Here is a 12,441-nt window from a genome sequence, read left to right as displayed (position 1 = left end):
CTGCAGTACTGGAGGAAAATTCTAGCCTTTGCTTTCTCTGGGCCAACACTGTTAATACTTGGTGGTTTGAGGCATGTCACAACCTTCCTTTGAGAAACATGGATCTGTTTAGATGAAGATGGTTTCAGAACATCAGAGTTACCCACAGATTATGTTTTTATGTAGTATACATTAAAAATATACTATTACATAGTTTAGATTTTTATATAGTATGTCAAGTCAGTGTTTTATGTGGGATGTCAAGTTTCGTGTGGAAGCTTTGAGTAACTGACATTTGTTTACCTTTTTTTTCAGATTTAATTTACCCACACCCAAATGCTTCTGCAGAAAAAGCCAGAAATGTCCTAGCTGTGGAGACTGTGCCTGGAGAGCTGGTGGGAGAACAAGCTGCAAATCAGCCCGCCCCAGGGCATCCAAATTCCATTAATTTTTACTCTTTGAAACAGTGGGGCAATGAGCTCAAGTGAGTCTTTAGAAAGCAGCATATGAAATTGAAAATGGGTTGTTTCTGATAATGTATGTTATAATTTTATAAATGAAGTTATAAAACTATCTTACACTTACAAAGGCCTTTGTTGTTTACATCATACTTTCCCATAGATCATTGTGGTTTTAGCTTGTATTACATGCTTATTCTGTGTCTGACACTATGCCAAACAGTTTCACACTTAAACGGTTTAATTTAATTGCTCAACTCTGTGAAGTAGGTCATATGGCTGACATTTTACAGAGACTGAAACTGGCTGAAGGAGAGTATGTGTCTGAGGTCACAATTCTTCCAGGCTGCAGAGCTGGGGCTTCTTGTGCCTAGGGCCTAGTCCCCTCTCCAAGACACTAGGCTGGCCACGTCCTGTGCTCTGGATTTCCATTCTCTGTTTGTGCATGGGCTAGTGAGAGTAGAGGTGGGTTGGTTTTTGTTCGTTTGGTTGGTTTTTATGAGATGAGGTCTTGCTGTGTTGCCCAGGCTGGTCTCAAGTCCTGGGCTCAAGTGATCCTCCTGCCTCAGCCTCTTGAGTAGTTGGGACTACAGGCATGTGCCACTATGGTTGACTTGTTTTTTAAAGAAGAACTTTATTGATATACAATTCACACACTGTACAATTCACCCATTTAAAATGTACAATTCAATGATTTTTGGTATATTCACAGAGTTGTGCTTCCATCACCACAATCAATTTTTAAATGTTTTCATCGATCCAAAAAGAAACTCATTACATTAGCAGTTCCTTCTCATTTCCCCCAACCCCTTCTCCTCTGTCAACCCTCAGCCGTAGGCAACTCCTAATCAACTTTCTATCTCTATGAATTTGTTTTTTGGTGGGTTTTTTTTTTTTTTTTAAGATAAGGTCTTGTTCTGTTACCCAGGCTGGCATGCAGTTGCGTGGTTCATGGCTGACTGCAGCCTTGAACGAAGCAATCCTCCTACCTCAGCTTCCAGAGTAGCTGGGACTACAGGTGTGCACCACCATGCCCGGCTAATATTTTATTTATTTATTTATTTTGTAGAGACAGGGTTCCCTCTATCTTGCACGGGCTGGTCTCAACTTCTGGGCTCAAGCAATCCTACCTTGGCCTCCCAAAGTGCTGGGATTACATGAGCCACTGCCCCTGGCTTATGAATTTGTTTATTGTGGACATTTCATATAAATGGCACCGTGCATACCTTTGTGTCTGGCTTCTTTCCGTTAGCATAATATTTTCAAGATTCATCCATGCTGTAGCAACTATCAGTGCTTCATTTCCTTTTATGGCCAAATAATATTCCCATATATGAATGTGCCATATTTTGTTTATCCATTAGCTGGGGGTGGTGATGCATGCCTGCGGTCCCAATTACTTGGAGGCTGAGGTGGGAAAATCACTTGAGGCCAAGAGGTCGAGGCTGCAGTGAGCTGAGTTCGCATCACTGCACTCCAGCCTGGGCAACGTGGTGAAACCCTGTCTCAAAAAAAAGAAAAAATGAAAAAAGAGAAAGGTTGTAGTGGCAGTGCGTTGTGGGAGACTTGGAAGTTTCTTGCTGTCCTGTAGAGTCCAAGCCAGTGGTCACTATGCAGTTGGCCAGCTGAGCTCCATAAGGGGTCCCACTGGTTTTTCAGGATGGGGCTGGGGTGTTCTTAGAAGCTACCATCCAAGGACACACTGTTTTAAAAAGTAGCCTCTTTGCTGTAACTGCTTTCTTTTTTGTACCTTCGTGGTTGAATTCAGTATGATAAAGTTATTTTCTGTGTGTTTTTAGTTTTTAAGGCATAGGTTTATATTGAAGCTGAGTGGGATATATAGGATATATATAGGTTATATTGGAGCTGAATGTCAGGGGTACTCAGACCTCAGAAGACCAGCACTTGTGAGGGTGATCACTGTAGTGGGCCCTGCCTTCCTTCCTCATCCTGGCTTGTGGCTGCAGTCCCACCTTCTTGGTCCTGCTCTGCTCCCATTCATCGGCTTTTTGCTGTTTTCTCTCTTGAGTCAGCTCTGATCATGTCATCTCCCTACGCTGATAGCCCTCAGCCTGCAAGTGCAGCTCCAAACTCTTTGGTCTGATATTTGAGGTTCTCAACGATACGACATTAGTCTCTTCCTTGGGCAGCTGTTCCCAGTATTAGCACTTTGTGAGCCTCTGTGTTCCGGCCATTCTGTGCCTTCCTCTTCATCCCAGAACCTCTGCTCACCATGTGCCTGTCTGCCCTGTGCCATCTGATTAAGTCCAGTCATCTCCCAGCACCCAGGGGATGGGGAGGGGTCATCCGGGAGGCACAGTGGGGCTGCCTTCCCTAGGTACCTGCAGCTTGAGAACCACTGATTTCCTCTGTTTCAAAGTATTGGGCTTCTCAGTAAAGAAAGGGATCTGTGCTCCTAAAAGTGTCAGAAAACCACTGAGAGCCTCCCTTCATTCCACATGTTAAAAGGTTGAGGCTTAGAGAGGTAAAGTGACTTGCTCAAGATCACATAGCAAGTGTGTGGCCGAGCTGAACACACACCCAGGTCTCCTAATTGGGGACCCAGTGCTCCTTCCCCCTTTCATCATAAGAACACATTTGGGGGACTATTGATTTGCCAGATTTTCATACCTAAGCTGTGTCATCTGCCCTCAAAGTGAGATAATGGAATGAGGTGGAAATAGACCTGTAATGCTGGGTGTTTTCCATGTCCTTGAGCATAGGAACATGGATGATGATTGAGTGCCTCCTGCCTAGGAAAGTGAACGCCTGTCACTTCTGCCTGTCACAGCTGACAGATCACATTCAGGGTGAAAAATCTAGTGTAGGAGTTATCTTCTATCAGCTGTGCCTTTGCCGTGTAACACAGTGATTAAGAACCAGGCTGCCTGAGTTCAACTCCCAGCTATGCCACTTAGTAGCTGGATAACTTGGGCAAGTTACTTAATATTCTGTGCCTCCGTTTCTCATTTGTAATATGAAGATAATAATCATACATCATGAGATTGATAGCATGATGATGAATTCATATGTGTAAACTGCTTAGAACAGTCCCTGGCACTTAGGAAGTACTAGGCGAGTGTTAGTTGTTGCTGTTGCTGGTGGAGGCACAGCTCATGACAAAGCCATTCTTCACAGAGGTTTTTGGGACCACTTTCTGTAGACACTAATGCTTATTGACTGGCATATGAATCTTAAGTGTTTATGGTTTTTTGTTTTTCTTTTGTTTGTTTTTACTTATGGCATGCTTTATGAAGTTTTAAATAAAATGCCTTAGGTGCACAGACAGACTTTAGTGACCCTAAAATAGATTACTGTATTATAAATGAATGGCTCAAAAATTGTATTTTTTAATGCACTCAAAATGCTGTCAACATTATGGTCAAGGCTTAAAAGATAAATGAAGGTTTATTCTTTTATTCTATTTATCAGTATAGTTGAAACTCTCTTAACTAGCTCCCCTGATGAACTGACATTTTAAGGTTCCTCAGTAGAGCCATGGTCCTCACTGACTGACTGCATGAGACCAAATGGGCCACTTCAGGGCACCTGTGTCCCTGCTGCCCCCACCAGCTGAGCTACAGACCTACCAAGAATCAGCTGGGTTTGTTCCTCACTGGTTAATGCCCGTTGTACTTATTATTGTAATTATGTAATTCAATGAGATATTTACTAAACCCGTGAAATATAAAAAAGGAATTGTTGTTTCTAGGAAAAATAAGTTGAATGCTTAGGGAAAATTTGATAAAGGTGAGTCACTGAAAAAATTGCTGTGAGGATGTGGGTGACATGATCGTGAAAAATCAAAGAAAAAAAACTTAAAACCCTGTAAGATTTTATGCTTAGATTGTTTCACAACTGTTAGGCCTTGTTCCACTTTTTAATAAGAAACAAACAAAATTGGGAAAGTTAGCTGATGTCTTAATGGATGTGATTTGCCCAAGAAAGATAACAGAGAACTGCAGTTAGTATCCCCAGATTGATCTCTTCCTTCCTCCCTCCCTGCCTCCCTTTTCTTTCTTTCTTTCTTTCTCTCTCTCTCTCTTTCTTTCTTTCTTTCTTTCTTTCTTCCTTTCTTTCTTTCTTTTTTCTTTCTTTCCTTCTTTCTTGCTTTTTCTTTCTTTCTTTCCTTCCTTCCTTCTTTCTTTCTTTCTCTCTTCCTCTCTCCCTCCCTCCCTTCTTTCCTTCCTTCCTTCCTTTTCTCTCTCCTTCCTTCCTCCCTCCCTCCCCCCCTTTCTTTCTTTCTTTTCTTTTTCTTTCTCTTTCTTTCTTTCTCTTCCTTTCTTTCTTTTTCTTTCTCTCTCTCTTTCTTTCTCTCTCACTTTCTCTCTTTCTTTCTCCCCTTTCCTTTCCTTTCTTTTCTTTTTTCATTTTTTGAGACAGGGTCTCTACTTTGTCACCCAGGCTGGAGTGTAGTGGCATGATCTTGGCTTACTGAACCCTTGAACTTCTGGGCTCAAGTGATCCTCACACCTCAGCCCCCCGAGTAGCTGGAAATTTAGGCACGTGTCACCATGCCCAGTATCCCCAGATTCCAAGAAGAGGCTTTGGCTGGTGTGTATCAGTAGACTGGCAGATGAGTGCACATTTACATACACCTTTACAGGTGCATGTGTTTGTTTTAAGTTCCTTTTATATGGATTCCTGCTTTAACCACATTTTTCATTTAACTTTTCAACAGTCCAAATCACACCAGGTGAAGGAACTAGGTCTCTGCTGAAATTCTGGCCAGTCCATGTGTGTATGTGCATACTCAGGGGTGGGAGTGCGCAAGCAAGAGTGAGAAAGCGCATGCCTGAGCACACGTGTGAGCGTGCATTGGAAGCCTGTGTGGCGGTTGAGCGTGTATTTTCAGTGTATGTAGGAGGTGTGCTTAGGCTGCAGCAGCGCTGACAGCAGTCAGCAAAGTTCTGTGGCTTTGTGGCCTGGACTGTGCGCCCATCTCTGGGTGCTAGGCTGGGCCTGATGTGGACCTCTGGCTCCTGGGGTCCAGCTCTAGTTCTGTTCAAGAGTGGGGTCACATTGTGGATATTGTAGTCAGCCCAGGTTTTGGAATCCCAGTCCTGCTACTTATTGGGTGTGTGATGTTGAGCTAGTGACTTAACTTCTCTGAGCTTTATTTTCTCCATCAGTAAATTGCGTGTGTGTGTGTGTGTGTGTGTGTGTGTGTGTGTAGTAAGCCTCTCTACTGGATGGGTGGGAGTGAGTGTTAAGGTTATAAATAAGAACTGCCTAGCACAGTGTCATTGTAAGTGCTCAGTAAATGGTGGCTACACAACCCAGGCCTGCTGGTATTGCTGCCACTGTTGTTACCCTGTCTCTTTTGAGCCAGTAGGTGAAGTGAGTCTCCACTTCCTTGAGTCAGGTGGATGGGGTGCCTTTCTCAATGCAGGTGTAAGGGCTGAGCTAGCCGGGAAGGTGTGCTCATCCTTCCAGGCCTGCCTCCCATAGGTCTTCTGCGGGCCCTGCAGTTGGCCCCGCTCTGATCCTTTGTTTTTGCTTCTCTCTTGACTCCCTCAGGCCTGGTAGAAAGAGTTATTTGTGAGCATGGCGGGGGTTCCCAAGAATCTATTATGGTTTTAGTGTCTAGGACCGTAAAGTCATGACAGTGACTCCTCTCTTCAGCCCCAGTTCGTAGCAGAGGGCCCGGCGCAGCCCAAAGCAGGCACCCGGATGTTTGGTGAATTAGGGGAAGTTTTTCCTGTCCCGGAGCCGTAATGTGGTACTTGTGATTTTCCTTGTTGGAAGGCACAGCTATGTCTGCCAAGAAAGACAAGGCATGTAGTCACCATGCTGCTGCCTCACACAGACATTTTTTAAGCCAGGACTTCTGGAGAAGGAAGCAGAAAGGAAGGCAACTTGCTCTTTGGCCCATGGAGTTTCAGCAGTTGCAGGAAGTTGGCTGGGGTGTGTGTGTGTTTCTGCAGTGGTGCAATGGCACCTGGTCTTTTCTGATAGCCCCCAGGAGCATGAAGTCGTGCTTAGCAATTATGTCCCAGTAGTCCTCTTGGTCTTGATCCATTCACATGCTCCCAGGGGCCCACATATCAGAAGGGCCATCGGTGTATGACACTGTTCCATGGAAATCACTGCGGTCATGAGAGGACCAGTGGCTTTGGCCTGTAGACTCGGAGACCTTTCACCATGACTCAGCATGGCAAGCTGAGGCTCAGAGAACTTTAATGTCTTGTCCAGGGCCACCAAGGGAGCAATTGGGCCATGTCTCCGGTTGTATTTAGAGTTGGGGGCTGAGGAAGGGCACCTGTCTGCATCCTGTGCCTGTGCTGGGTCCACCTGTTGCAGGGACCCAATTCTAAGGGACCTGAATCAATTCAATCGACTGCCTCAGCCTTTCAGAGGCTTCTCATTGCCTTAGGCTGAAGGCTGTGCTGCTGAACATGGCCTTCAGGGTCCCGTGGGGTCTGACCCCTGTCATTTCCTCTGTTGCAGGCCCACTTGACTTCTTTCAGTTCTTCAGGTGTATGTCTTCCCAACAGGCCCTGCCTCAGGCTGTCCCATTGCAGGGAGGGCTCTGTCTTCTCTGGTTACTTCTGCTCATTCTTCAGAGAAGCCTTCTCTGTTCCTCCCACTCCTCACTGCCGTGCTTCTCCTTCATAGCCCTGTAGTTTCTGTATTTCTTTGTGTACTTGTCTGTGGTCCAGCTCTCTTGCAAGGCTGGGAGCTCCATGGGGCAGGGACCCTATCTGTCTTGTCTCTGGTTTACCCCAGCACCTCACACTGCCTGGCTCATGGTGGGTGTCCAGCACCGACTTGAGGAAGAGTGATGAGGGAAGGCTCCAGACCCTTCCAGGGGCAGAGTTGCTCTGCTGCTCTTGCTCCCGCTGCTTGGGGGCTTCTCATCCTCTGCCCTTTATACTCGTGGGGGGGTCTGCCCACACCCACCTGCCCTTGTGCCACACTCCCTTCCCTAGCAGGACGACAGTTCCTCTCAGCACTTTTCTTTCTGTTTGGCTTCCTGGGCAGGATGTTACCTTCTGACACAGCATTGTTCACTTTTTTGACTGGGAACTGACAGCAGAAAATACACATCTTTGTATGTAAATGTATACTGTTGTTATGTAAATAAAACTGAAAGAAAAATTCCACTGCTACATGTAGTAAAGCTAAGTAGTATTTTCTCTTCTAATACTAAAAAAATGCTTGTCATGACCCTCAAAATTGATTTCCTCACTCCTTAATTGATGTCCTGGCCCCCAGTGGGTCATCACCTGCATTTGAGAAGCCCGTTCTGCAGGACTGCCTGGCTGGGCAGCTGGCCCTCCCTCCCACCCTGCTGCATCTTCCTCTCCCCTCCACTATGGGATGGGGCTGAGGATGTTCCCTTGGGTAAGAGGCTGTCCCTCCCCGCTGTCAGCTGTTTAAGGTTCTTCAGGAAGACAGGCAGGCGAGCCCGTGAGTCCTGCCACAGGGGCTGTAGGGTGCGGTTCAAGGCTGAACCCAGTATGTCACGGCCTACCTGGGCACACCAGGAAGAAGTGCTTATTCTTTGCAGTGTGGGTTGTGGGAGAGGCCGGTGATGGTTTTGCTGTGAAGATGAGTTTTGGCTTAAAGGGCTTGAGAGATGGAGAGGGACTGTCCAAAGGGGAATGCAAGTGCAAGGACACCCATGCAGAGGCAAGGAAGTCAGAACAGGGTGTGTCTCAAGAGTGGCATGGGTTCTGGTGCCAGGTGCGTAGGGTGCTAAGGGGGTGAGGATAGAAGAGGAGCTGAGGAGGCCAGGGACTCCCAGGGTGAAGGGGTGGGGGTGTCTGCCCTTTGGACAGTAGGGAACCTGTGGAGCTGTACCTGTCTGAAAGTTCTACAGTAAGAATATTGTTTCTTAGATGTTTGGTTTCTTTGAGGCTGTGCATGTTTATTAGGTGTTTGCTCTGATGTCTTAAAATTGGAAGGGTGATGTACTCATCTGTCCAGGTAAATGTCTAGAGTATTTTGGAAACTGTCTTTCTGATGACACCTTTCCAGGTCCTCAAGACCAAAAGACATCATATCAGAAGTAAATATATTCTGACTTTGGACGTTAATGCTCCAAACTTGAATGCCAGCTGAAGCCTGGACCACAACAGAAAGCAGCCTCTCGAAGTCCTTGGTTTGAAGGACGATAGCTTACTAGAGAGTAATTGTGTTAATTTGCTCTGGCTGCTATAACAAGTGACCATAACACTGGTGGCTTAAAACAGCACCTATTTATTGTTTGATAGTTTGGGAGGCCAGAAATTCAAACTCAGCTTCACTAGGCCTAAGTTAAGGTGTTGGCAGGACTGCTTTCTTCAGAGGCTCCAGGGCAGAGTTAGTTCCTGGCCTCCTTCAGCTTCTGGTGGCTGCTGGTATTCCTTGGCCTGTGGCTGCCTTGCTCTAAATCACTGCTTCCTTGGCCACATTGCTGTCTCCTCTTCTGTAGTTGAATCTAGGCCCACTCCCCAGATAACGGTGTTAATCCATTCGTGAAGACTGAGCCTTCATGGCCTAATCACCTCTTAATGGTCCCACCTCTTAATACCGTCACAATGATTATTACATTTCAACATGAGTTTTGGAGGAGATATTCAAACCATAGCAAGTGACCTGGCTTGCAGGCCTGCCACCTGACAGCTTCCCCATTTGGCCTGCCTTCTTAGTTGTGTGTTTGTACTTCATTGCAATAAGCGTGCATGCGTATAAAAAGAAAAATCAATCATTGCTGAGGGGTACACAGTTAAAAATGAAAGTCCTTTTAAGTCCACTTCCCAGAAGTCACCACTAGAACTGAAGGTACTTATGTCTGCACCCTGAACTTCGCTCTGTGTGTATGTGACTTAGAGGGATTGTACAGTATCCACTATGTCAGTGCATAGCTACTTCAGGGACTTAGAATGCTCACTCTTCGCTCAGACATGGCTTATCTGTATTTACCATGTCATGAGGCCCACTTGCACCAAAGCTGTGCTCTCACCAGCAGATGGGTCAGGAGGGGTCAGCAGTGGTGGAGAGTGTAGGGCCACCTGCCATGCCCCTTTGAGCTGACACATTATATAGGCACTTATCTGGAATGTCCAAACTTGTTAGCCCTTACTAGAGCTCTTGTTCTAACAGAATTCGGTTATAGGAATGTGCCCTAAGTTATTTAAGCAGTTTCCTAGCCATGGACATCTGCTTGTTTCTACTTTTCTGTCATTTCAAATAGCATTGTTCTGATATTCTTGTACATACGTCTCTGTGCCCTTGTGAGAATATATTTGAGGAATTAATTTGTAGAGGAGGAAATACTGAGTCAGCTTTATTGAGATGGCTGTTGCCAGTCAGAGGAAACCCCCCCACACAACCTCCTCCCTGCCCCGCCACCTTTGTTTCCCTTAACAGGGCCTGTAGTCTGGAGGGAGGGAAGGAGCTGGAAGCAGTGGTAGCCTGCTTCCCTCCTGTGCACAAAGTCCTGGCAAGTGCAAACCTCTGCCTTGGCAGTGTCGTCCACCTGCTGAAGAGGTTGTGGTTTTGCCTGAAACCTGGCTGTGCAGGCGGTTTGTGGAGGGGTTAACTTGGAAGAAATTTGATGGAACATTTCCCAACAATTCTGTCAACTTGTAAATTCTAGCTTGTTATCAGAATCCAAACGAATGTCGAACGAGTTATTACTGTTTTAGTTAGACATTTTAAACTGTGCAGACCTCCACCGGAAAGAGGTTTTCTTAACGATGATACAGATTGCTGGTGTTTGTTTTAAAAAGCTCAGGCTGACCACTGCCCCTGACAAGGTGCTGTTTTGCTGCTTCGTGGTGCCTCACTTTCTATTTCAGATCAGAGCAGCTGAGTGTTTATAGGTGGGCACCTGGCACGCTGCCTGGGAGAACACAGTAGGCCTCTCAAAGATCTGTCAAATGAGACTGCGGTCTTTAAACAGCAAATACTGTCATAGAACAGCCTCTAACACCAGCTAAAAAAACGCCTCCATTTAAACCAGCTGTGAACTCCTCATGGAGTACACAGGCAGGACACGTAGTTGCCACCGAGGCCTCTGTGGGCCAGAGCAGACAGGGTGAGTGTGTCTGAGAAGTCTGCACTGTAATGACCCCCTTGTTGCACAGTCCTAGAATTGGGTTTTGCCACATAAGAGCAAAAACAGGAATTGGCTATATACTGTTTCAGCTTCAAGAGGCTTTCACTTTGAGCCTGATTCCATTTCTCTCTTATCCAGGACTTGACAAGTAGCACCGCACCTCCAGCAAGGCTGTCCCTCAGCTGCAGGTGAGAGCACGGCAGCGTACGACTCAGGCTTGCAACAGGCTGGAAACCCAAAACCGCGGTGGGAGGAAGGAGGGTGTGTGGCAGTTCTAAGTCACTGAAATTACTGTTCTCTCTCCCCAGGCCGTGTGGGGGTGTCCCTGCTCTTATTTCTCTTTCCTGCATTCACCCTTTAGGAACCAGAGCTGAGGAGCACAGTTTGACAGCTAGGGCAAATGGTAAGGAGAATTTAACTCCTAAAATTGACGGTGGTGGTAGTCACATGCCACCTGAGGGAAGGCTCCTGTGAGATCCTTGCTGTAGGCAGGGCCACTGAAAAGTCATGGTGCAGTGGGTCCAGCGGTGTCCCAGTGCCCTGTGAAGTGATGAACCAGTCATGTCAAAAAAATGAACAGAAGTATAGCCAGCATTTGTGAGAGTTTTCTTTTTGAGCAGCTATTTTGAAATAGTTTTCTCTACAATTTTATAATTTTTATAAAATCAGACTTTATACAGTATCTTGCTCATTGGGTTACCATGGGGAATTGACTAGAATCCTTCTATGCAGTTGTCTGTGAAGATGTGTGGCACAGTGCCAGGCTCTAGAAGAGACAGGAAATAAATAGCACGTGCAAGATGCTATACGTCGTTTACCAGCTCCGTGTTGGTCCTAAGTAAATAAACTATGAGAAAGTGAGTGTCAGTTCTAAACAGGCATAATTGCTGGTTTCTGGTGACTCTTTGTTAAAGCAGTTAGCCAAAGGCCATACATCCATATACTGTGATAGCGTGATGAGAACATAAGCGTGTTATATAATTTCTCTGTATTCTTCTGAATGTTTAAAGTACAAGTAAAAAGGAAAAATGATATGCTTTAAAAAACACATTGAGAAATGACTGTTTTACATGAGAATATCATCTGTCTGATTCAAACTAGAGGTAAAGCCACCTTTTCCCCCCTTTCCTTTAATCCACCTCAGAAAACACCAAATGATACATTTCTTCCTCTTCCTTATTTATTTGCATGTTTATTTTAATAACTTCATTGAGTTATAATTTACCTCCAATAAGTTCACCTATTTTAGGTGAATAGGCTGATGAATTTAAGAAATTATACACAGCGATGTAAACACCTCCATAATAAAGAAAAATAGAACATTTCTACACCTTTAAAAATTCCTTCACGTTCCTTTGCGGTTGATCCCTTCCCTTAATACCCGGCCCTGGGCAACCTCTGATCCGCTTTCCGTCACTATAGCTTTGAGTTTTAAAAATTTTTATATAAATGGAATCATACTCCTTATAGTCTCCTGTGTGTCTTCTTTCACTTAACGTTTTTGGAGACTTACCTATATTGTTTGGTGTTTTCGTATTTTATTCCTTTTATTGCTTTAGGGATAAGGATGGGTCTATTAAGTAAGAGAATATAAGTATGTATGTGTGTGCGTATAAGTAAGGTGGTTCATGTGAGCATGTCCTCTCCTCAGCACTCCACTTACCGACTGCTCAAATGAATTAAGATGTCTCTTCATAATGAACACATGCCTCTTACCTTTTGACAGTTTAACTATAAAAATTTGACTTCCTTTATTTCTTTTGCAAATTAGGGTTATACTTAAAACTTTAAATATTATTTGTATTAGGCAATTTGATTATGATATGCCTTGATACAGTTTTCTTCATGATTTTTGTGCTTGAAGTTTGTTGAGCTTCTTTTGTCTGTGGATTGATGGTTTACATCAGATTTAGAAAAATTTTTGGTCATTATTTCTTCACATACTTTTATTCCATC

The 12,441-nt window shown here is 44.9% G+C and overlaps 1 protein-coding gene across 16 annotated transcripts in view, besides 1 other annotated feature; it reads left to right on the top strand.

The window, feature by feature from the left end:
• TBC1D2B (TBC1 domain family member 2B) overlaps positions 1-12,441 on the top strand; it is an 82,727-nt gene that overhangs the window by 32,349 nt on the left and 37,937 nt on the right. For 14 of the 16 annotated variants that reach the window (XM_047432269.1, NM_001387143.1, XM_011521387.3 and 11 more), the window contains one exon: positions 295-463. Coding sequence is in view for 13 of the 16 variants with exons in the window: in NM_001387143.1 (NP_001374072.1) it covers positions 295-463 (169 nt within the window). In the remaining 3 variants the exon portion in view is untranslated. Of the gene's footprint in view, positions 1-294; positions 464-10,620; positions 10,674-10,766; positions 10,889-12,441 lie in introns of those variants that run through there. The other 2 variants (XM_047432270.1, XM_047432271.1) reach the window with 2 other exon arrangements.
• Positions 10,884-10,943: an enhancer, noted in NCBI's record as "active region_9900". NCBI's record gives its function as "activates an Ori minimal core promoter by ATAC-STARR-seq in GM12878 lymphoblastoid cells {active_cell/tissue: GM12878}" and the evidence as "EXISTENCE:reporter gene assay evidence [ECO:0000049][PMID:35858748]".

The sequence above is a fragment of the Homo sapiens genome, chromosome 15, assembly GCF_000001405.40.
Source record: "Homo sapiens chromosome 15, GRCh38.p14 Primary Assembly".
Lineage (NCBI taxonomy): Eukaryota > Metazoa > Chordata > Mammalia > Primates > Hominidae > Homo > Homo sapiens.
This window is presented reverse-complemented; position numbering and strand designations above follow the sequence as displayed.